This window comes from Homo sapiens, chromosome 5 (assembly GCF_000001405.40).
Source record: "Homo sapiens chromosome 5, GRCh38.p14 Primary Assembly".
Taxonomy (NCBI): Eukaryota; Metazoa; Chordata; class Mammalia; order Primates; family Hominidae; genus Homo; species Homo sapiens.
Genome location: NC_000005.10, coordinates 3,176,609 through 3,201,259, shown reverse-complemented (window position 1 = coordinate 3,201,259; position 24,651 = coordinate 3,176,609). Strand labels below are relative to the sequence as shown.

Here is a 24,651-nt window from a genome sequence, read left to right as displayed (position 1 = left end):
AGGACTGTGAGAATAAATTCCTGTTGTTTAAGCTGCCTGGTTTGTGGCACCTTGTTATAGCCGTACAAGAAACTAATAGAGATGGGGTGTCGGGCTCAAATGCCCCACTGCCATGGTGGATGCTTGGATGCAGGGGTGAGGACAAGAAGGCACCATCGTGCTGATGGTGGAGGTGAGAGATGGGGGTGACGGGCCTGAAGGCCTCCAGAAGAAGCTGCACATACGTGGCCCCTCCAGCCCTCCTGCACCTAAGCTGGGAAGCTTCTGATCGGCTGAAACGACAGCCAAGCATTTTGTTTCTTCCTCTGAGCACATACCAATGGACTGTGTGTTTTCCCAATATGGGGCCAAGTTCCAAAATTAGTAGGGCTCTGATTTGGCTGCCTGGGGGGAAACCAGAAGAGGGAGGAATTGAGCCCACACCTCTTAGGACGCAGCGCCCTCGCATCAGCTCTCTGCTTGGCCAAAACTTGGTCCTACCCTAGATGTCTCGCAGATAATCTGGACTGTTTTTTAGAAGAGCAGCTCAGGAAAGGCATCATCCCTCAGAGCCAGCCACAGGTTCAGCAGCAGCCCAGAGCCGGCATATCCACCTGCTGAAGACAGAAGGGAGCAGGGGAGGAGATACCTACATCTGGTGGCTTCTGTCTCCACACCCAGTCTCACTGTGTCCTGGGCAGGGCCAGAGCAGGAAGCTCGGCCTCTGTAAGGCTCCGGAAGCTTTGAGGGAAAGCTCTCAGGGGAGGCACCTGGCTCCCTCCTGCAGTGATTTATTAGACACAAACCTCCAAAATGGGAGACCCAGGAGAACCGGGGCATGTGGTTTGGGTCACAGCTGTCTCCCTGGCAACTGAAACAGTGCATGGCAAGGTTGAAGGTCAAAACACCGACAAAGGGGGTTCAGTTTCCAGGCTGAGGGTGCAGAGGCAATCATGGGGAGCCTGTCAGCAGCAGGAGGGTGTGACCGGGACACGGGGCAGCAGCATCTGGAGGTGCAGGCTGGTTGCAAAGAGAAGGAGGCGGAATCCATTGAGAAGGAAGCAGCAGTAAATCTGGGCTGCAGAAAGAAGTCAGAGGCATCGAGAGAGGTATGCAGCTGCCTCCGGGGGTTTCCTACACACACTGCAGTTTTGCTTGACGGAGGAGTTGGGAAAACCACGTGCCAAAACACAGGCGTCCCAGGTGACTGTTCCTGAGATGTGCACAGGCAGGTGGAACAAGGCTCAGGGCATTGATAGAATGGGGTGGCCAGGCTGCTGTTTTTCTGTTTCTTTGCACGTGAAACGTCTTCATGCAAGCTCAAGCACAGATGCATTAGCTGCGCAGGAGACCCTGCAGCCCCCAGAGACTCCCCAGTGAGTGGATCAGGTGTTGGGGCAGTGCACTCAGGACGTTGGAAGAGGTTTGGAGTGTGGGGCCTTTCTGAGGATGGACAGCACCCCAAACAGAGTTAGGTATGGGGAAGGGGACATGGGTGAGATCATGAGTCCTCCTGGTCACTTCCTGGAGGACAAAGAAGGAGAGGGAAAGGGAGGAAGCATCCTAAACATGGGCGCTGCCATGTCGGGTTCTGGCAGACAGCTTCCCATTCCCAGTTCTCCTGTGGATGAGCAGGTGACTCGTAAAGAGAACAGTGGCACAAGGGGACTCCCCAGGCTTCCCAGCTCCAGCATCCTAAGGTTCTGTAGCCCTCACCCAGTTTGGCTTCCAGGCCGTTGGGAGGCAGAACTCGTCCTTCACGTTTCGGACACAGACCCTTGGAGTCCCACCGAGGCTTACCTGGAATGCATCCCATGTTAAATTCCTTTATTTAATCTGTAACATGTTCATAAAATCATCAAGATCCACAGGTGCACCTGTTCCTCTCAAAAAGCTATAACATTGATTTTCTAAAAACTGCTTTATTTTGTTTTTGAAATCCAGTTGCGTGTGTGTGTTTTGTTGTTTTTTAGTTTTCTCAATCTCATATTATTTACATGCCAGGTTTCCCATGTTCTTAGAGATAAACGCAACATCACAACAAATAGAAAAAACTTCTTTCATGCACAAATCGCGTCAGTTCTCAAAAAAGCACGATAATTCTATTTAGATCATGGGGGTAGTGATTATATTAACCTTCTGACTATTTCAGTGAGGTGTAGCTTATGTCTTCTGATGATATCTCTCACAGTTATTTGTTCTAGACCAAATAAAAAGAAAACTTTACTTTTCTTCCTTTGCTTATTAGAGTTTGCTTTTGAAACAACTATGATATCATTTATTACTAGATGCCATACATAAATCATAATATTGGCAAGTGATTTTAAAATCAATACATTTAAATTAAATTGCATTTCATGGGTTTGAGAAGATAAAATATTTGTTACTGAAGCCATAATTATTTAAAAAGTCAATCCCCACCCCAAACCCATGAGCTCTTATAAAGATGTAACAATATTCCTTGGCTTTGCTTCTTCATGGTGTATCACCCTTACTATGGAGTCAAGCCCAGCACCATTTAATGTTCTTTGTCTCACAGTTGACAATACATCGTCATCAAAACCATACTCATAAAAAAAGTGACGATTAAACATCTTTCTGTACATGTGTTACATAATGTCACGTATCTATTACTAAGAAGGCGTATTTTCTATGACCAAAGAGAATAACCTGATTTGAAGTAGAAGAACGGAATAGAATTGTTAAACAATCCTTTGCATTTTAAGCAACATTTAATTAGAAACACACTTTAACCACCAAAATGATAAAAATCCAAGAGATTAAAATTTGAGTGTCAATTATCATAAAATTCATCATGGTAATTCTTATTAAAACTCAGTGTTTAGATAGGTAATGATTTTATAATATGCCAATTTGCATAAGGAGCCCTGAGATGGCTTATTATTTCGATCCTACACAATTACAATTCCAGCTCCATACATCAGAGCTCTTAGCAATGTAAAATCACGGTGCTAATTAATAAGCCATTTACTGACTGCAGCTAGTTACGGCGGTCCTGCAGCTGACCTCGCGGAAGAGGAGCCATCTCTGAAGTGCCTGTGTGCAACTACAAACATAATGATGTGCCAGGAGGGAATCATTAAAAATAATTTACACAAGCCTTCATTTACAAGATCTTTTGATAGCATGCTTCCCCGGTGTTTAGATCCACAGTGCAACCCCTACCATTTGGAAAGTGCCAGGCAGGGGAGTGAAGGCGGATACCTAAGTGGTTAATTAAGAGCCATTCGGACGCCACAAGAGCCTCCTGAAAAATCCCTCTGATGTCTGCTGTGTCAAATGTCTCTCACAGGCAAAGCCACAAGAGGCAGCAGCCGTGACAGGCTAATTACTGGGGACGAGGAGCAGCTGAGAATGGTCGTCACGGAGCTCGTGCCGGGCGCACCCAAGCTCAAGATTGAGCAAAGCAATCTTTTGTGCTGCTGGCCTGGAGAGTGCGCCGCTCTGGGAAAGGGGACTCATCGCAAGTGACGGGAGCGGGGGCAGAATGCCTCTCCGGAAAGACAATGGCCAAGGCCAGGGAGGGCCGCTCCTGCCAGCCCCTCACATCCCGCAGTAGCCTCTCCAGGAAGTCAGTCCCAGGAAATCACGCCACAGGACCGCGGGTTCTTTAGATTGATTTCTACGGAAATCAAGCAGCCACGATAACGGATGTGCAACAAAGCCATTGAGATCATCGGGGGCATCGCCTTGCTTCTATATATGTGTGTGCACGTACCCCACACAAAGGGACACACGCCCTGTAGACACACTCACACTCAGGCACACAGCACAGCAAAACAAAACAAAAAGTTCCAAACGCCATTCACTCAGGCAAAGTAAGTGCTAATTCATGTATAGAATAATTGCACAGGAATGCTGTGATGTAATGTTTTACAAGAGGCAGGAACCTGTTAGCAAAATTAGCAAAGGGGTTGTCAGAAAACAATGTGTGAGCCTGGGTGTCAGGGAAGAAGGGAAAACAGTCGGGGAAGCTTCGAAAAAGGATTTTCACCAGAAAAAGATGCAAATATACACAGAAATGGACTCTTAGAGAGCCCAAGGATGCTAACCGGGCATCCGTCTGTTAGGATGAAGACCCCTTCACTCAGTACTAGGCGACAGGATCGCAGAGGGTGTGTCTGCCAGGACAAGTTATGCTAATGCACAAACCACAACACCTCTTCATGCTTAGATTTCATCTATTTGTCTGCGTAGTGGCCAGACAGGGTAAAACCACTCACCCTTAAAATTTTTGTTTAGAAATTAATAAAATGCTTCCATCTGATTCAGGGTGAATGTGTGGATCCAAAGTGGATTTGAACACAAGGCTAATAAATACATACACTGTTCAGTGGTCACCACCAGCCTCAGTCTTGATTAGCTTTGGGGATATTTACTATGTATTCAGAGACAACATATTTGTTAGAACCTAGGAAGCCTACGTCTCTTAAGCCTTTTATGGTAAGAAAATCAAAAGCATGCTTTCTGGTCTTTAAATAAATGGGTGTGAATTTCCCATGCCAAACTCTAAAACCATTCTGTCTTGAAAACTATGATAGGTTTATGTATGTCATTAACTGTTGTGAAGTTTGTGCAATGATGAGCTCAGGCATTTAACTACAGAACTTTTATTGTAATCCCAGTCTTTTAACACTGGCTTTTGCCATGGAGAAGAGATTCAAATTTAAAGCATCCTTTGAAGTCCAGGCAGTCATCTCCAAGACAAAAGGAAATAAGACAAAAATCAGCCCATAGCATGGGTGTAATTAATGCCCAAATCCGCTTCAGGGAGGCCTCCCATATATAGCCATTGTTCCACCGCAGCCCCTGCTCTATGGGCAGTAGACATGGGGTTATTTAATCAATTAGTGTACTCATCCTTGGAGGGGATCGCAAGGTCGCCCTGTGTCTACCTGAAGCAACGGTGAACCTTTCTGGCAGCATAACCCACTTCGGGTGCCAGTTTTATAATAGAAGGTGGAGGAGCTGCAGATGAAGATGTACATTTAGAGATACCATCAGTCTTGAGCTGGCTTTCCTGGCAAGGAGGGTGCTTGGGAGACCCTCCAGAAGAGGCAGTCTTGAGCCACGGTGCTCAAGAGCTGGAATCCAACCAGCCCAGTCCCTCCTGTCCTCTGCCGCCCACTCCCGAACTCAGGAGAGCAAAAGGTGGGCCCTCCGTGGCCCAAGGCAAGCTCCTGATGAGAGCAGTGGGGAATAAATGCAGCTTTACATGCATGATGGCCAGCTAACTCCAGCTGAAGAAGGAAACAGAAATGCTTCACCCATGATGCAGAAAAAAAAAAAAAAGGCAAAGAATTGGAAATTTGTGGCAGCTCATATGAATAATTTTAATTAAGATAATTCCCAATCCAATGGAACCCTTAAGCCGTATGTCTGCTGAGGAAAACATGTTCACACTTTTAAAAAGTACATACTATCTTGCTTCAAAAAGCAAATAAAATATTCAACACATGAAGGATTCTATCACAATCCTAGTCTACCAGTCTTTTACGTTTGTGGCTGGAATTTTACTTGCAACTTTTCTGGGCCACAGTATTCAAAGGCTTTACAGGTCAAATTGCTGCCAGCTTTTCGTTAGCACTTTGATATTCCTAACAGATATGCATGGAGCACACTTCAGTGTCTTTTCGATTACACTGAAAAATCAATTATTACACACAAATATCAAGTAGATCTGTGAACTTTAGAGCAAGCAAAAGTGGTAATGTTGAGTCTCTTAATTTGTTGATGGTTTTATTAATTTGGCTGGAAAAGATGAGCAATGATTATTGAGTCTGTTTCTATGTAATCAAAAGAAAGAAGACATAATAAAAAATGTTTAAATCATCAGTTTTTATTTAATTGTTTATTCATATAGCTCCGAGGGTAAAGCCAGTGTGAATTAGGCGGGAGAGAGGAAGATACTGGAGAACATTAACTTGAATCCTACTTCATCAGGAACTGAGGAAAGATCAGGCACTATTGGGGAAAGAAGTTATTTGAGAGGAACTTTTACAGTTAAAACATTTATAAAATCCTCTCCATGCTACGGATGACATCCCACTTTCCAATTTTCCCTCCACACAGTGAAGGTCACTAAATATTTTTAGACTATTTAGTTTGTATTTCCAAACAAGGTCATTTGCTAAAATGTGTGGCTTTTCAAAATCTGAGGATTTGGTTGTGAAACACACACATACACACACACACATTCACACACACACAATATTGGCCTTTCCTTTTCAAAGCAGCCCACGCCCATTCCCTGCGCTTCCCCAGGCACCTTCTGCAGGGGCTGCATGGGAGCGGCCTCTCCAAAGTAGAAAAGAAAATCCAGGCGGAGGAGCCTGGCTGCTGCTGCTGCAGGTCACTGCTCTCACTGACCTTTCCGCCTGGGCGTGAGCGCCAGGACCACCTGAATTGTCTTAAGAGGGAAGGATCCGCCGTCCTCTGGGGGTGCAGACAGACTTCAAAACGTTGCAATTAAGTGGGAGCTGCAGAGATTACAGGGCGATATTAACTATCATTAAGTGATTTCTGTGTGAATGAGCTGAGCTCGCCTTCCCACGTTTGGCTGAAAAGGCCCCTCCAACCTGCGCGTTTAAAGGTAATTTGATAAATACCTGTACTTGTTGGGGTATTTGTCTGACAGACAGACCACATGTATCACCTTTACAAAGACATCAATGTGGCTAAAATGCAACGCTCCGATTTCCAAACAACAAGCCCCAGCAGGTCACACAAAACCACACTGGGCATCCGGAGCAGGGTGGCGACGCCTGTCTGCCTTGCTTTAAAGAAATTAGCTCAGTTTTCTTACAATAATAAACAGAGGTTCCTGTACTTGAGAGTACTGTTCACTAACATTATATGTAAGCTTTTGATGTTTTGTTTGCTCTTTAAGCATGACAAGATATTGGCAACAGAGGGGAAGGAAACCTGCCTCCCAGAGCAGGGAGAGGTGGGAGAAGCTGTGGCTCGCTCGGCAGAGGGCACTGTGTGAGGCCATGGCTGTGGCTGAGGAGCTGGGTGCGCAGGGGCCCCCAGCGCTGCCACAGGACCAGGGGCTGAGCCCCTGCTGTGACCTCTGACAGCTCCTAAAAGCTTGAGCAGGAAGATCCCACTCCAGGGACAGCAGAGATTCCCCTAGGGGCCTCGGCAACCATCCCTCCCTCTACACAGAGATGTCTGGACCCTGGGCTGTGATTTTTGGCCAGGAGGACACAGCCACTTAGGGTACCTGTCACATGCCTTGACTTTGAAAGTCATGGCAAACAACCCATTACATGTTTTAAAGAAAGTAGGTCTGTTTTCAGAACCAGGGAGTTGAGAATGCAAGATTTAAAAACTGGCAAAGGTATTACTAAAACAGGTATGGCAATAAAGTCTCATATATGAGGTATTATGATGACGCCTCTCTCGTAGGAGCCATCTCAGATTTTTCATAATGTTACTTTTTCTTTTTCCTTCTTTCTTTTTTGAGGTGGAGTCTCACTCTGTCACCCAGGCTGGAGTGCAGTGGCATGATCTTGGCTCACAGCAACCCTGCCTCCTGAGTTCAAAGGATTCTCCTGCCTCAGCCTCCTGAGTAGCTGGGATTACAGGCACCCACCACCACACCATGCTAATTCTTCTATTTTTAGTAGAGATGGGGGTTTCACCATGTTGGCCAGGCTGGTCTCGAACTCCTTACCTCAAACGATCCACCCGCCTCGGCCTCCCAAAGTGCTGAGATTACAGGCGTGAGCCACCACGCCCAGCCTCTTAATGTTCTTTAAGCCAGTAACTAATACAGGTTAGTTATTGAATTATTTGTATTGAGTACCTGCTATTTTTATGAATGCAGTCAAGGCAAAGTTAGTTTAATTGGACTCCCTCAAGCAGGCATTTTTTATTTTACTTCACTTTTTATAATTAGTATTCAATTCATGCACTCTTAATGAGATGAAAATTAAAGTTTCCACATTTAATACCATGTTTTCATGCTTGCCACGCTTCAGGAGTTTTCGTGAATAAACAGTGGTATCAATGGGCCGCCAGAAAGGGCTTCCTGAAAAGGCCATGGAATTTGTTTACAAAGCTCCCATGCTGCCTGTCTCTGGAAATGGGAGCGAAAGAGGTTGCTGGACATTTGGGGAGTGGTCTCCTCACAGCCCCCCATATTCTGAAGAAAATCCAGAGTGACCCACAGACCATCACTGGTTACAGCCCAAATCTACTTCTCTTCCAAGAGAATATTGCCTTTCGCTGGAACCGTGTTCAGTCTATTAATAATCTGGCTTTCACTAAAGAAAAGCTCTAACCCAGAGTTCCCAAAAACACCTTGTAAATTCATCGTGATTTTCTGGAAAAGCTCAGTTCCTGCTCTGGCTTTGGGTCTCAGGAAATAGAGATGCTTTGGAGTAAAATGTGTCGTGCTTGAAGTGGAACAAAATCACACCTCACATGTCCCCACTTTGAAGTTAGAAGGAATATAGTCCTCATAATTATGTTATTAAACCAAACCTACTTTAAAGCCATTTTCTTCCTTGTTAAGGCTACGTAAATTTTGTATGTGATTAAAGGAAAACAACACTATCTAACAGTTTACATTCAAAGAAGAGTGGAGAATGTTTTTCATTTTACTGCAAACGTTTTTGCAGGTGGACAAGGAAGGCTGCACCACAGTGAAGATGGTCTGGAGAGAGAAAATGAAGCTCAGTGTGTGGCTGATTTTTTTTTTTTTTTATGAACAGAAAATGCACGATGATTTTAGGAATGCAGCTATTTGCCTAGAGCCTCCCAGGAGCTGTCCAGGAACATTTTCCCCGTTTTACACTCACATTTACAATCTCTCTCCAAGTTTGCTCCTGGGTTGAAAAAACTAAAAAGTCCATATTCGATTACTTTTAAATTTGTTTCTAATATCTCATCAATACATAGAATAATGATAAAATTAACTGCTCTGTATCCTCACTGTGTGAGGAAGAGAAGACATTGGCAAGAAAAAGGAAAGTTCTTCTCTCTCATTTCCAAATTACTATGTCAATAATTTCTATGGTGAATTGCATTGGCCAAGTGTCATGCCAGTGTCATCAGGAGGGGGCATGTAAGATTGCTGTGTGTCTAAGGTGCAATTTTGCTAAAGACCAGAGCATTCCCCATTTAAAATTATGAAAACATATTCAAGAATTGACCTTATGAGTGCTTAGCAATATTCAGTGTGCAGATTTCAATGGCAAAATGCACTTTCTTGCCTTAGCCCAGTTCCTGAGGAAACAATTAGTGATGGGAGTCAAAGACCTGGTTAGAAAATTCAGGTAAGTTTAATTTCCTAAACAATTGTGTTCAGGCATAGCAACCTCTATGAAAACGTTTGGGGTGTTTTGCTTGTGATGAATAGTTGAGGAAGTGAAATCTTTGACTCTGAAATGTTGTTTCTCCTTATCAGGTACGTGTGCAAGGTCAGCCCGGCAGCAAGAGCCTGGACGCAGAGCCGGGGCCAGCCCACCCAGTGGAGGCGGACGCAGCCCCCGCAGCACCCATCCAGCCGGTACCTTGCCGTCGCATCCACAGAAGCACCGCACATTTTATTATTCAGAAAATTAAGAAGTCACAGTGCACGGGGAAAAAAAGAAAACAGTAAGCGTGCTTTTAAACAATTCATTTAATTAACAAATATCTGAGAACAAACGATAAACACTAAGACTGCTGTGCCAGGGGACAATGCTGCCCAAGACCAGGGTTTTCCCCATTTTAAGTGATGAAAAACATATTCAGAAAGTGAGTTTATGAAGGCTTCGCAACATTCAGTGTGCAGATTTTAACGGCAAAATGCGCTTTCTTGACTTCATCCTACCGTGCGAGGTTTTAGGTGGGACACAAGTATAGACAAGTTATGCCTCTTCTTCCGCAAGAAATTAGACTATTTGAACAAACACACACCAGGCCCCTGTGCCTGGGTCCCAGCAAGCTGTACGTGCAAATGCCAGCACTGGTTATTTCCGAGCTGGGTGTTATGGGTGATTTTAAGCTTCTTCTTTTGGTCTGTCATTGTTTTTTGCTTTCTACGAAGACTAGTTCATGCCTTCTCTACCAGAAGAAAATGACAAGATGAGTCCTACTTTTCAAAGTGTGGCTCTGTGCCAGAAACAGGGGAGTGAGAGCAGGGAGGGCTCGGCCTGGGCCGCACGGCCCACGTGATGCCGTGGAGCGGCTGGAGTTGAGACATGGCTGGACTCAGGCTGAGGGTCCTGTGGGCAGGAGGAAGAACTGAGGAAGAAAGAGTGTGGTGTCATCAGGGACCGGCTGGGGCTGCAGGAAATTGCCCTCTGTGCCCAGGGCCTGTTGAGAAGTTGTACAAGGAACCAGGGAGATGGGGGCTGGCCTAGGGAAGGCCTAGGGCCCTAGGGATGGTCACTGAGCTGGTGAGTAGAATTATCTAGCTGGGCAATTCCCTTCTCAGAATTATATTTTCCCTTCATTATCTCCAATTGCATTGAGGGTTTGTTTTTGTTTGTTTGTTTTAAATTTGACTCTGAAATGTTCCTTCAGGTATTAAGTCATAGAAGCATGATGCTTACAAAACAACACAAAATTAAATTAAATATTAAAACATTTTAAAACCAAATTATAATAGTCACCAAAATGATCTGAACAAATTTATTTATTTTATTATATTTAAATGCATTTTAATATACTTACTACCTTTACATTTAATTTTCTTTCTTATATTTAAGTTTATTTCTCTGTTGATATCGCTCCCTCTCTTCTTCCCTCTCTCTTTCTTTCTACTTTGACTCTAGAAGGAAAAATAGGCTGTTGGACATGAAGGATTCATATTTTACATTCCTAAGAACACTATAAACCCTCAGTAAACGTTGACCACCAGCCACGGTTCACTGTAACCTAGTCAACTCTGAACGTATCTGTACATGAAATGGGTCAAATGATTATCTTGGAAACTCACTTATACATAACAAATGGGGATGACATACACAACCTACCAGTGCCCTTCTCTCCAGTGCTAACATCATGACTGAATTTCAGTATACTCATAAAAACATTGTGAGATCAACTTCATCTGTCCAGGGCTGCACTGCATCCAGGGAACAAAAAGCACATTTAATAAAGGAAGTGAGCAAGTGCCTGGACCAGGGTACCATTAAATGTTTTCAAATATTAAACTTTATAAAAATAAAAATTCACATTATTTTTTATTCAAAGGGAGTATACAGTGCACCTAAGGTTCGAGATCAGTTCTCAGTCGGCTGCAGAGGGAGGGATTACTGTTTCTCAAGTAGAAATGCAAGGTACTTTTGAGATCTCTGTAAAAATCTCCTCTGGGACCTGACCTATGTAGCAAGTCTGTCAGGAAAATTCCAGAGGACCAGCTTGCTTAATTTGGCCGTCCCAGTGGCTTTACTCAGCCTCACCACCTACATCATTTTCAATCCAGCCAAAAGGTTTCTAATCCCTTTTACTTCTAGGTGTTCTTGGAGGAAAATCACATATTTATACAAGCTTTATGTAGCTTTGAAACTCAATACATAATGCATGTCGAAATGAGTAAGTTGCAATTTTAGAAAGGAATAACCTATAAGATTTACAGGGGGCTTAAATATTGTTATTTAATCACAAGATACAGTGTGTGTTATGCTGTAATCTCATTTAAATCATATAATGAATGCAATAATGAAAATTAAAATCCCAATATGCATGGCTGTGCCTGTTTTAATCTACATGTGATTTTAAATAGCATTTCCTACGATGCTGTTCTTTTATTTGTGGGAAGTTGTTTTGGGACTTAAGAATATGCATCCTGTAGGAGCCACTTTTATGATGTCAGACTTTTTTTATTAGAAGAGGATTTATCAGCAACCTGTCCCTCCCTTTTTGAGACTGTATGGATATAATAATAATTTCAACAATGACACAAATCATGCTCCTAGAAGGTGCAGTGTTTCTCTCCCCACATAAAACATTGATTGTCAGGGCTGGGGGCTGAGAAAGAGAATAATTTAAAATTATTCTGGCAAATACATAAGCTCAGACCAAATTGAGATGGAAATGCATGTCTATTAGTTTGGAAAGGGGCAGCGTGGGCTTCTCCTCCTCACCTGGTTTCTTAGTGCCACCATCCTAGTCACTCCCATCCTGAAAAGCCAGGGTTTATCATTAGACCCAAAAAAGGAAACAGTAGCAAGGATTTGGGATCTGGAGGGTCTCGTCACTCTATACCCTTCCTGAAATGCAAGGTGCGTGGATGCATATTTATCCCTCCATCCTTACACAGCATTAACTGAACACCTGCTATGTGCCAGCCCCCTGGACAGGCATTCTTCCCCTTCCATCAGTGTGCAGTAAGTTGCCCCTGCTGCCTCCAAATGAACCCAAACCTTCAGTATCCTTTTTCACAAAGAAATCCAAGTAGTCAGGGCGCAGTGGCTCACGCCTGTAATCCCAACACTTTGGGAGGCCAAGGCAGGCAGATCACCTGAGGTCAGTTCAGGCTGGCCAATATGGTGAAACCCCGTCTCCACTAAAAATATTTAAAAATTAGCCGCACATGGTGGCGGGTGCCTGTAATCCCAGCTACTAGGGAGACTGAAGCACGAGAGTCGCTTGAACCCGGGAGGCAGAGGTTGCAGTGAGCTGAGATCGCACCATTGCATTCCAGCCTGGGCAACAAGAAGGAAACTCTGTCTCAAAAAACAAACAAACAAAAAAACAAAAACAAACAAACAAACAAAAAACAGAAAGAAAAGCCAACTCATTAGGAATAAATCTATGCCATGATGATGTAGAGAACTGCCTACACTTACAGAAATAAAAGTATAGGATTTTTATCTGGTTCTTAATTTTTTATTTTTTTAATTTTCCTTTATTTTTGGGCACAGAGCAATAAAGCATTCAGAATGGAGTTTTTCTCTTCTCTTTATCTTCATAGAATAAACATTTTCTTTCTACAATCGGACTTGACTTTCTAGTTTCAGAAGAATGTCCAGGGCCTTTCCACCACCCTGGGGGCAGCACGGGCGACCCGGAGCCTAGCTGCACCCTCGGCTGCGCCCGCGGGAACCCGCCTGGCAGGCTCCGGCCGCAGTGAGCCAGCTGCAGCCTGGGAGCACAGTGTGAACCTGCCAGGACGCATGAAAAGTGCATGGCGGCACCGAAACATCATTTCAAAAAAGTCCCCCCCCCTTTCATTTCGCTTCCGGTTGTAGCGGTTATTGGCGCTATCAAAGCCATTTCTGAGAAGAAGCAGAGTAAACACTTTAGACCGCTCCTGCGACGCCCAGACAGACGCGGCTTTCAGTGCTAACTGCACATCAGGCTGATGCGCCCGGAGAGCCTGAGCTTTTATTTGTTTCGTTTTTTAATTTTTCATATGAAGAATGTCAGGAGGTGCCATTGGAGGCTCTGGAGTAAGTTGCCGGATGGATAAAGCATAAAGAACAAAACGTCCTGCACACCTCCTCCATTTTCCTGCCCAGTACAAAAGACAGAGAGAGACAGCAACACCCATGATCAATCCTAGAAGCCTGAGAAGAGGGGAAGAAAATATAAGTTTGACAGGAATTTATAAATACAGCCTTGGTTAAGTATATCATCATTCATAATACCATTAAATCTATTTCAATAAACAAAAACATGCTTTACTTATTCCAGGAATTCTTTGTGAAAGGAAAACATTATGTGAAAAATAAAGTGTTACTGCAAACACAGTTAAAATCTGGAGTGAGGTTTTGAATAAACAAATTAAATTGCAATGGAATATAGTGTGCCTCAGAGCCATTTCTTGACAAAACAGTCATCTTATTTACACGCTTCACAATACCCTACCATGGATGTCGAAGGAAAAAAATAAGGAGAAAAATAATTAGCATATTAATCTTTTTTATGCCACCATCTTTCAGATCCAGAAGACCATGGTGTAATTTAAATCTAAACGCTTTCCTGGCATTAGAATTCATTTTAGATGGGTCAATTGTTCCATAATAAAGGGATAGAAGGTGTACTTCATGCAAGAGATTTATGTTTGCCATTTGTTCATATTCATGTGCTACTGAATACCCTCAATTCAAATGGTGATGGCTGTTCATATCAGTCGGTCGCCAGCCACACAGATCACTAACCGGCAGCAATGAATTTCATTTGCAGGACAAAAAATACGGCGAAATTAACTCCAACAGTTTATTGATTTTTGCTTAACAGAAGCCAGTATAACAGCTCTATTGCCCTCATAATGATTAGTGACAAAAGTTTAATTAAGCAATTATGAAGCCAATAATAGAGTTGTCTGGCCCGCTCAGCTTCAGTCCGTTCAGGACTTATCTCCCTCCTGCACATCATAGCAGCTGGAATGTGCTTGAGGAGATTAATGCCGGAGAACACAGATGCCTACTTTAATTCTGCTTCATGATGCCGTTTGAATGGAGACGGGAACACAAGCTCCCCTTTATCAAATTACAAGTCCGCTTTTCATGAATATGTAGTTTAAAAAAAAATCTAGTTGTGGCTTCAAGGTGTAATTATAAAGACATACAACAAAAATGACACACAATTCTGTCTTAGTAATCCCTGCTATGAAATATGCATGATAATGTATTACTGAATAAAGACTTAACAACGTTCTAAGAGGCTTTGCCATTGTACCGTTATCCAAACAATTGGCAGCCTTTTCCAAATGTTATGTGAGATATTGTCTGACCTTACATCTTTGTTTTTATTCCTCTTAAATGTATTGTTTCAAGCTTATTGTATTGTTATTTGTCCATAATGCCATTAAACTCGTCTTATCTATTTGTAAGAATTCCCAATTTATTATGTATGCTTAAATATGTTAATGTAAAAATGTGAGCTCCTTTCTGGCATTAATCATTTCATGAAATATGCACCGTGTCCCTGGAACCTGCAAACCTGGAGACAGGGAGGCGCCGGGCTTATTTCTCCCAACCTAACCATGCTACAGGCACGGCCCCGCAGGAATCTTGCTTCGTGTGCATTCAAAATACCTTTACTCAAGAGAAAGAATCTGTTTCTTTCCACCTCTGAAGCAGCAAATGGTCTTGACCAATTTTCTGGCCCTTCCTTTTTCTCCAGAAAAAGGAAAGGCCACACCACCCCCCCCTAAAAAAAAAGAAACAATTTATCCTTCCACCACCCCATAGAAACTCATTTTAGAGGAGGGTATAAAACAAATTTATATACATATATATAGGTAAATGCATAGGGCTGGAAGTCCTATTTTTAAACTTTGCCTGTGATAACCTGAATCTCTACATTTCATTTAGTAAAACATGAAACAAAGTCACCCATGAGTGTTTGTCACTAATAAGATGTGCCTTATCCAAATGATTTTGATTTATTTTATCAAAATCCCCTGAAAAGACATTTGTCTTCTTGGAACTGCCTGAAACAGCTGCTTCTGAATAACAGGCAGCCGCCGAGGGAGACCAAGCAAAGGGTTTCTGGGTGGCCTCTCGACTCCCCACTCCCTGTTTCTTCCCCCAGCACCCTTGTGGGGGGACAGCCTGCACCCCAGCATCGACAGGCTTGGTGCTGGGCAGTCACGGGCAGAGGCCACCCCCTGGCAGAGCACAGAAGACAGCCGCATTCCTTCACTCTCTGCCTGGTCCCCCTGGCCCGTTCGGGGAACCGTGGCAGGAACTGTGTGTACTTACCCCCAAGCTGCACGGAGAAGGAGGGTGAGCCCAGTATTCCTTGGAGTATTAGAATACATTTATCCTCGGAGCTTTCTATTAAATAAGAATTCGTCTTTTTTTTTTTTTTTTTAATTTGTAGCTATTATTAAGATTTCCTAGGAGGGCTCTGCTTTTATATACAACCTCCATCAAGGTGTGAATCAGAACAGAAGCTTACTAATGAGGAGTTGCCCAGGCTGCGTTAGAATCATGGCCGGAGTAATCGGGGGACTTGCTCCCCCTCGCCTTGTTATTAGTGGCTTATCATGTATCATGAGCTGAGGCTAAGCGTATTTAAACCTCCTGGAAGTTGAAGCAAGTTTGCAAACTGCACAGGTCGGTGGGATGCTCTCGCCTTTGCATGCCGTCTACAGAGAGAACCATCTCCATTTATTCTGGCAAGTTGAACGGACCAGGGGAAATGTGGGCAGTGAGAAATCACATCTTAATTCCTCACCTCTTCGTGGTGATTTATGAGGAGGGGCTCCCTTCCATTCCACTCCAACCATTATCTAAAAGGAGGGTTTTTAGAATGTCTCTAATGCTTGCCCCATTTCCACTCTACAAGACTATAACACTGAAAGACATAATTGACAGAAAGGTTTGTTTTTTGTTTGTTTTTGTTTGAGATGAAGTCTTGCTCTGTCACCAGGCTGGAGTGCAGTGGTGTGATCTTGGTTCACGGTAACCTCTGCCTCCCAGGTACAAGCGGTGGCTCATGCCTGTAATCCCAGCACTTTGGGAGGCAGAGGCAGGTGGATCATGAGGTCAAGAGATTGAGACTGTCCTGGCCAACATGGTGAAACCCCATTCTACTAAAAATACAAAAATTAGCTGGGTGTGGTGCCATGCACCTGTAGTCTCAGCTACTCGGGAGGCTGATGCAGGATAAAAAGGTTTTTTTAACTATCCCCTTGGCATTCGTTAAAGATGATTCAACCTCTATAGAACCTAAAGACAATCCCAGGATGATGGAAAGAAAATGTTGTTCTTCTGTGTGGCTAATTGCTGGAAGTTTCAACATCCGCTCTGATGCTTGAGTCTTTCAAAACCCAGCAGAGATCGTTCTTAAAGGGAAAGACAGTGTAAGTGTTACCACGCTGTGGACATGAAGGACTTCACCCCCTTAGGAAAACTAATAATAGTATGTTACGTGGATGTATTTTAGGGACAAAGATTAAATCAGAATAAGCTTTGAAAGACTGTGCTGTCAAAATAATTGTGGATACAGTTTTATCTTTCTCAAAAATCTGAATATTAAGAATGAATGGTCATTAAATGTCTGCGTCATCCAGCTTCCAACGACTCGCTTCATTCACTTAGCACATTTTGAAAGATAAAATAACTGATTTCCTGAAGTCTGATCTACCAGGAGGGACAACGTAAACTCAGTTTCCAAGGCCCGCAGGCAAATCGAAATTTTCATGTATTCTGAAGGTGCTGTGAGTTGGGACGGCCTCGGCCTCAAACGTAGTTTTTGTTCATGGAACCACTGCAATACTCCTCATAGAATAAACGGTTTACTTTATTTTATTTATCTGATAATCAGCTCAGCTACACCTGTGACAAGTTGTGAATTGTTAAACTACAGAATGTCACCCCTAATTACTCTTTGTTAAGAGACCTAACAATAATTTCCTTGTTCTTGAGCCACAAAATGGTAGAAGTAATTAAGCAAAGAAAGATCTCATGTGAACACATTATTGTGACAACATTACAGAAAGTAGCCGATACCTGTGATGCAGAATTTGCGAAGGGCATTTTATGAACAAATGCGGCATCCAGAACACAACGATGAAGGAGCATCGTTCACAAAATGCAACCGTGCACACGCCACTTGGATATCGGAGCACTGGTGGCACAACAATTAAAAACCCAGGTGAATCCATTTCACAGTGAAGTTGTCTGTCATGTGATAAAATTGTTCTTCTTCCCAATGAGTTTGTTTCGCTCTTAGTTAGCTAGGAAATACACTGAAGGTCTTCCAGCCCATTGCTGAAATTAACAACGAGCTCTTCTTAGCATTACCGACATGGGCAAGACATCTATGGAAGCGAACTTACTCTATGCCTGAAGTCGACCTGCCTGTTTTTCATCCTCAGTGCATCTTTTTACATATACATATTTTTTTGTTTTTGTCTTCTTTTGCCAAGTAATGATTAACAGCAATTTGCTTTTATTAGTAAAGGGTTCTAACAGCAGAATGACAATTTTAATTTTACATATTCAATTCATCACATCATTAGATGAATGCAAAACTGTTCACCTTTGCATATTCACTGAATTTTGCACTGTGCGATCGAATGGTAAGATGAGCTTTAAATCTGCAAATTAAATATTAGGTGCCCCCTATAGTAATACATTAAGCATGATTGGCTTATGAGATGACAAGGAGAATGTGACAGAAATTATATCAATCCAACATATTTGTTCTTCAGTTTGCTCTCCCACATTTTATTGTGAAGACTAGCAGATAAAAAACACAACTGTTTGCTAATAGGACTCACATCTTGTTATGGGGGCTGATTTTCCGTTTCCCCTAACTCACCGTGATTACTTTTTTAGAAGCTCTCCCTTCTCCCCAGCTGATCCTCGTCTAGTTAGGTGGCATTAATGACACTTCAGTCATCCCGGCTTTCAAGCCGAGTCCTTCCACAGCGAACAGAGAGTTGACATTTCCTGACATTTTCCCAACTAATTACAGGACAAATAATTAAGCATGTTCTCGTATGTAACAAATGAAGGCAAAAGCCGTCTGTCAAGGCTGGTGATTGATGACACTCCGGGAGACTTTATCTGATGGGTCCTGCCATGCAATGGAGGGGAAGCAAATTTATTAGAATGAACAATGCAAATTCTGAGTCATCTCATCCAGTTATGCACCAAAGCAATATCCATGTCAAGGTGAATGTGACAATGAAAGCCAAATATTTGCATTTTGTGGAGCAGGTTGAAGGGGAAATCAGAGCGAGAAGATGACAGGCCTAATTATTTTGGCTCATACAGGCTGGGACAGCTGTTTCTGGTGTCCTGAACAAGCCTGTCACACAGGTAACTAAATAGGTCTGCATATAAGTCTGTATCCAACACTGTACTGAGATGTCTACCGCTAATGACCAACGCTAATGTTACTGCCATCCCTGAAAAACAGAAAATGTGTCACTGTGCACGTTCTGCATGGCAGTCAACATTTCGCTACATAATTACTTGTTAGTGAATTAATTCCTATCTGTCAGTATCTATGCCAGTGTCATTTTTAGACCATTACAAAATTATGCCATCACTATAGCAACTGCAGGCACAGTTAAAAGGCAAAAGAGTTCAGATACGCAGGAAAAGTGCCTAGTTAGGAACGAGATAATAACGTAAAACCCAAATCCAAATGCCCACGTCCACCACCCTCATTTTCTTTATTTGGACTATGCATCTGATCAATGATCATTAAACAATAACTTCAGGTTTCCAATTTCAATCCGCGGTTAATATTTCATATAATTAAAACCGCAGTCCGCAGTAGTATCTCTCTGAAAGGAGGAAGCTCACCGCACCGTCAAGTCAATTAATTGGGTGCTTAAAAGTGACAAGCCCGACGCCGCGTCAGGGTCTGCGAGCCCGTATGCAAATGTGCACACGCCTGAGAGCATCGCAGCACCTCTCCCTTAGCTTGGCTTCCTCCACAATGGATCCCTATTGAGTGTGTGTTCAGATCCCTCCCTGTTTTCTTCCGCCTCCCTTTGTGCAGGTTTCGTTTGCTCCCACGCACTGCCAGACTGTGCCGCGTCCCTTTCCCGTTCAGCCCTGCAAGAGGCCATCACGGTAGGAAGAGCGTTCCTTGCTTTATTCAAATCAACACACTACAGGATTCAGATGCTCTCTGCACTAAGAACAATTGGCAACCTTTTGCACCCTAAATGCCCCTGGAGATATACATTTTAAGATGGAGAGAGAGAATCAGAGGTGGGGCAGGGTGGGGGAATAGAGAGAAAGAGAGAGAACCAGGGAGAGGGAGGGAGACAAAAATTGTGACTAACCGAAAAAAATGTTAAAACCCTTAATTTTGAATAAAAGTAGAAAATATAAAATATCATAGGAAACAGAATCTTTGTTCATTGATTTTTCCCTTTTAATTAATTAAAATATTACCAAGCTGGAAATGAACAGCTCCACTAAGCCACCCACATAAATTCATCACGTTGGTGTGTAAAACAAGGTCACTTCTGGTAACTGCAAACATTTTACCGGTGAATTTGAAATGATGTGTCTCAGGCAGACATCTGACTGAGAATGGTGTTGTTGGGCCCCAGTGATTCAGGGAAATGACGAGATAAAGAAGAGAGAATTTGGAAACTGAAAAGCTGCAGTTAAGGTTGGACATTCTTTAGAAACATCATTGTGTTTCCGATTGTCGCCCTCATTTTTGTGCATTGAGCTGGCTTATTTTTAATGCTCTCTGATGTGATGGGGGTGCGGTATTTTGGATGCATTGAGATGCATGTTAATGCGCAGTGAGGTTAAGAATGCAGACGCATGAAATGGGGTGTCCTGGGGCTTGCATTCAGAGCCCGACGTGCCACAGGTGATCCTCGAGCAGGTGAAGATGTGATCAGAAGCAGAGTCCATCCCGAAGATTCCTTGGGTCAATATGCGTGTTGGCGGGGTCCTATCAGAGAAACAGAAATACATGATGATCAGCTGGGGGAGGCTGCCGAAAGCCCTGACTTGCAAAGGTGTGTCACTCCTTAGTTCACCGGCATCGTCTCAGAGGCACAGCACGTGGCTTGGCCGCCTGTCACATTCCGGCAGATGCCCAGGACAAGGGTGAGTCCTAACTGAGAGAGCCGAACTTGCACTGCTGGTCCCGCCTCACGCTGGAAGCGGTGAGAGATTTCACTTGGGTTCCACGTTAACAAGGTTAAGCTTGCAGTGCCGCTGGTTACTTCAGAATCCCGAACGGGCAGAAATCAATAATTTCCCTGGAAGGGTCTTGGCCATTGCTCCCTTCTTGACAGTGCCATCGACAGTTGTTAACACAAAGGCAACAAAGAAAGGCGAGGACCCTTTTGAAATAATGCTCAATTTTGCATATTTATGTGATTTCCCAGCACACCTTATACTATCTGAATGTTCGCAGCATGGAAAGTTGCTAAGGACTGAATCTGGGAGGACAATTCTTAATTTGTTGGAGACTTATTTTGCTTACATTTCAGGCATAATGACAAATCCCAAATTAATCAGTTTTAAGCAAAAGAATCAAGTAATTTGTAATTGGTAAAAGAATAGTTGGGCATGCAGAAAGTGGCTAAGTCCACTCTCTGGTCAAGAAGCAGGTTTCTAGGCATGTAAATAATGCATTATCTTGGTAAAGATTGTATACAAATTTGATACAAGGAGCCAATGAGACAGTTTCTGTCTAATGATCCTAGTCAATCTAATTAATGCATTCTGCTACATTACATTTTAAGAAGTGACCATTGTGTAATACACTTTGAAATATGCACAAGCTAATGGGATAAGATACAAAAATTATTATGCTGACAGTAAATCATATTACATTCCTAATAAGCATTAACTAGATAACTAGGTCAAAGCAGTATTATCTTAATTGATTTTTCAAAAGAAACCTGACAGAAAAATGTCAATGCTCGAATATTTCTTCATGCATCATTAAAACAAGACTGGCTTTTAACAAAAGAAGAGCCCTTCACAGAATTGATTCTTGCTTCGGGCTGCCTGCAAGTAAGTGTATTACATAAAAATCTATACAGGATATTAAAACAACACCGCTCTGCAAGACAGTTACAATTAAAAGCTGACACCCCCCAATGTGTCGGACACAGTGGCTTGCCAGCAAATGTAAGAAAGTCTTCCTAGCCACCGGTGGAGGAGCATCACACACTCTGCGGTTGGAGGGAAAGGCACTGATTATAGGAGTTTCTAATTAAATCAGAACACCCATCCCTTCTCTGTTTTGAAACAGCATAGTTATTAAACAAATCTCACAGGATTACTCGGGAAACCCCATCAACATTACCCGGAGTCTGTAATGGAAGTTGCAGGCCTGCAGATTCCAACAGAAGCTGTGAATGGGGACGCCTTACAAGTCTCCTGCAGGTTAGGGAGGAAAGCAGGAAGGTCCTTCTGGCCCTCACAAGGGGAAAGTGTTGGAACTCAGCCTGGGTCGGGACCGCCTCCTGGTGGAGTGCTGTGTCAGCCAGGGGCTGATTTGGTTCAACTGTTGGGTGGCTTCTTGCCCTAGAAACCTTTGTGCTTTGTAGAAGTTCCCACTCCTGACTGGGAACCTAAATTGTCACTGGCTCTAAGGACATCTGTCCCTGACTTATTTTCTGTGTTTTGCTTCCTCCAGCTAAGAATCAAACCAGTTCCACGTGCCTAAAGCAGGTCCACAAAGCAAGACATAGATGAGGCTTATTCTTAACCCCTAAGGTGCTGAGCAAGCAGGGCAGACCCAGGCCAGGGCTGTCCCGACAGAAGAGTCCTCCGGTAGCACCTGCTTTGGAAAAGCATTTTGTTGGTTACCCAGGAGGCTTCACCATCAGGACACTAGGCCTCGGTTGAGGGGTTTGTGATTCACCCATGGTGAAAGTTTAAACATTTCAAGAGAAAAATAAAGGTAAAAATAGGCACAGTCTTGTAGTTTTTAATTTTAGACAGAAGATAGCTGAAAAACATCACACCTTTCCTTAAACTACTTCTTTCCTTCCTCCTGTGCACAGAAATGCCTCCATTCTCTCTTCCCCTTTTTGCTTTTTAAGTTCCAAATCACTTTTGTTTAGCTGATTTATCCTTTGTACATAATTATTCCTTCTCTCTCTCTCTTTCTTGCTCTCTCTCTCTCTACATATTTATTTTCATGTGAAGAACAAGTGGTTCTTTGTGACTTGGAATGAAAACTGAAGACTCCTATAAAACAAACACTCTGGAATTGAGAGTTGGCTTATTCAAAGAACCACAGTCTTTAGATAATTGGCAAAATGAGATCTATTGGTGACTCTTTATGAAGAAGGAATTTGTGTTAATCAGACAAAACTAGGCTATGTGTTTGACATGGTTTTGGATAATTCAGGACTTCACTGAGCAGACTTCTAATCTACCAACTCTGTCAATTAATATGGCTTTACCTATGTACGTCTCATTTCGCTAACAAAAAGGTGTTAAGTGTTTCAATTAATAGAAAAGCTTCCACCCAGGTACTGCCCCCATGACCCGGGCAGGTATTTCACTTTCCTGAGCCTGCCAACTGTCCATGCAAACAGTAATAGCACCACACAAAGTTGCTGGAGGCTGAATAAGGAGTGAGGAGTGCTGAATATTGGCTGTTCCCCATACTCAGGGTCAGCAGGCAATCAACTTTTCTACCAGAAATTATCTTACAGGTGTCTATAACTTACCTTTTTAAATAACAATTTTGAAACTTTTTATAGTAATTTTCTTCTAAAACATATTTTATGATTCATTTCATTACAGCAGAATGCAGGAGACATAATTTGATCTCTTTATGGGGGCCGGGGCACCCCAAAATCCATGTGTTTATGAAGTGGCTACTTAGTTCCAAGCCCCAGGGACCTGACGGTGAGCTCGGCCCTCGCAGGAGAAGGGCAGGGGCTGGGGGCCTCTGAACGGTGCCCACCCAGTCTTGAGGTTCGGGCAGGCCTGGATATTGAGTAGGATGACCAGGTAGCCTGACTCTCCACGGAACAAATCAGCTGAGTAACTCACTGTCTTCACTGCTTAATATCTGCAGTCCATTGCGGGCGCTTCACTGCATTGTCGATTGTGATCTCACGTGCGAAGCTGTGAGGGAAACGTGGTGATGCCTATGTGCTAGAAGAGGAAACGGAGGCGCACGTGTCACTAGCACGTGTGGAAGCCACAGCTGGCACTTGCCTTCTGGGACTTCTAAGCCTCTCACCCACAGGGGCATGGCTCTGGGACCTGACAGCTGTTTCCCATCTCCGGGTACATTGCCAGGAGGAACTGCGCGACCATAGGATCCCGCTCTATCTCCCGTCCCTCCCTGCTAGGGTCCTAACCTACCCGCTTTCCCTGCCCTGTCTCTCTTAGGTTCTTCCACCTTCACGGTAACCAACAGAACCAAATCATGCCCAGTCTCTGGGGAGGCGCATGGGGTGGCGAGACAGCCCCGAGGTTTAAGCCAGACACCTTTGAGTTTTGGTCTTGCCTGGATTAAGGCTGCTTTGCTTCACCGTTTCACCACCTTGGAGATGAAGAAAGTAAGACTTATTGCTCAGGGTTTCTGGGGGAATCAGGCATTATGCAGAGCACATATTTAACAAATGGTGGGCGCTCATGTGAGATCCCTCTTGCCTCTTCACAACACGGCATTCAAATTCCTCCAGTGGAACCCTGGTCACCAACCCCATGGCTCAGAGACCTTCCCTTTCCTCTTGAGACACAGGCCTCAGCCTTAGTGATGGTCCCCACCCCAACCCTCCCCACCTTCCTGTGTCCTTTGCATGAATCATGCTGTGGACGAGCTGAGCCCCCGGGCTTCTCCTGGTTCTAGTTCTCGCTTTTCCCCGCAGTTTCCTGAACCTGTAAGCATCCCCTTCCTCTTTTTTACCCTCACTGCAGTTCCAGTGTAGTTCACATGCTGGCCCCAGCAAGACTGCTTGGTGACTTTCTTGTCCCTTGTTTGGATTGAATATCGATCACGCGTTTTCCTTCCCCAATAGTATGATTTGCATGCAGAATTCATGTCTGGCCCTTCACAGGGCTGCCCCTAATGGCCATGACCCCAGCGTTAAGCAATTACAAGTGCCGGTGAGTTTTGAGTTTAATTTCTTAAGAATTTTTAGTTTTTTAAAATAAAACCGTATTTTAAAAGCATGAAACAGATTTTTAAATGTCTACCAATTTTGAGTTTAGAAAAGTTGCCGCCAATAAAATGGAACAGAAAAAAATCAATTGTATTCCTCTTGAAGCTTCCATTTATTTTCAA

General features: G+C 43.5%; 1 long non-coding RNA gene across 1 annotated transcript, besides 6 other annotated features; it reads right to left on the bottom strand.

Annotated features, from left to right (window-relative positions):
* Nucleotides 2,432-3,509: an enhancer, noted in NCBI's record as "VISTA enhancer hs754". NCBI's record gives its function as "enhancer in: hindbrain (rhombencephalon)[6/10] | forebrain[5/10]" and the evidence as "EXISTENCE:transgenic organism evidence [ECO:0001131][PMID:17130149]".
* Nucleotides 10,011-10,176: a silencer, noted in NCBI's record as "fragment chr5:3191198-3191363 (GRCh37/hg19 assembly coordinates)". NCBI's record gives its function as "represses an EF-1alpha promoter that drives an FKBP-Casp9 reporter gene in an ReSE screen in phorbol 12-myristate 13-acetate-treated (for megakaryocytic differentiation) K562 erythroleukemia cells {active_cell/tissue: K562(+PMA)}" and the evidence as "EXISTENCE:reporter gene assay evidence [ECO:0000049][PMID:32094911]".
* Nucleotides 13,448-14,935: an enhancer, noted in NCBI's record as "VISTA enhancer hs533". NCBI's record gives its function as "enhancer in: neural tube[9/9] | midbrain (mesencephalon)[9/9]" and the evidence as "EXISTENCE:transgenic organism evidence [ECO:0001131][PMID:17130149]".
* Nucleotides 15,552-16,067: an enhancer, noted in NCBI's record as "H3K4me1 hESC enhancer chr5:3185307-3185822 (GRCh37/hg19 assembly coordinates)". NCBI's record gives its function as "activates a minimal SCP1, AML or CMV promoter by ChIP-STARR-seq in naive H9 embryonic stem cells {active_cell/tissue: H9 hESC(naive)}" and the evidence as "EXISTENCE:reporter gene assay evidence [ECO:0000049][PMID:30033119]".
* Nucleotides 18,103-19,156: an enhancer, noted in NCBI's record as "VISTA enhancer hs603". NCBI's record gives its function as "enhancer in: hindbrain (rhombencephalon)[5/10]" and the evidence as "EXISTENCE:transgenic organism evidence [ECO:0001131][PMID:17130149]".
* On the bottom strand, nt 20,028-23,425 carry LINC01377 (long intergenic non-protein coding RNA 1377). The gene is made up of 2 exons (NR_104617.1): nt 23,081-23,425; nt 20,028-20,331 (listed from the first exon to the last, which is right to left on the bottom strand). It is a non-coding gene; the product is annotated as a long intergenic non-protein coding RNA 1377 (long non-coding RNA).
* Nucleotides 23,258-24,457: an enhancer, noted in NCBI's record as "BRD4-independent group 4 enhancer chr5:3176917-3178116 (GRCh37/hg19 assembly coordinates)". NCBI's record gives its function as "activates an origin of replication core promoter dependent on BRD2, P300/CBP, MED14 and CDK7 cofactors, and independent of BRD4, by STARR-seq in HCT116 cells {active_cell/tissue: HCT116}" and the evidence as "EXISTENCE:reporter gene assay evidence [ECO:0000049][PMID:35650434]".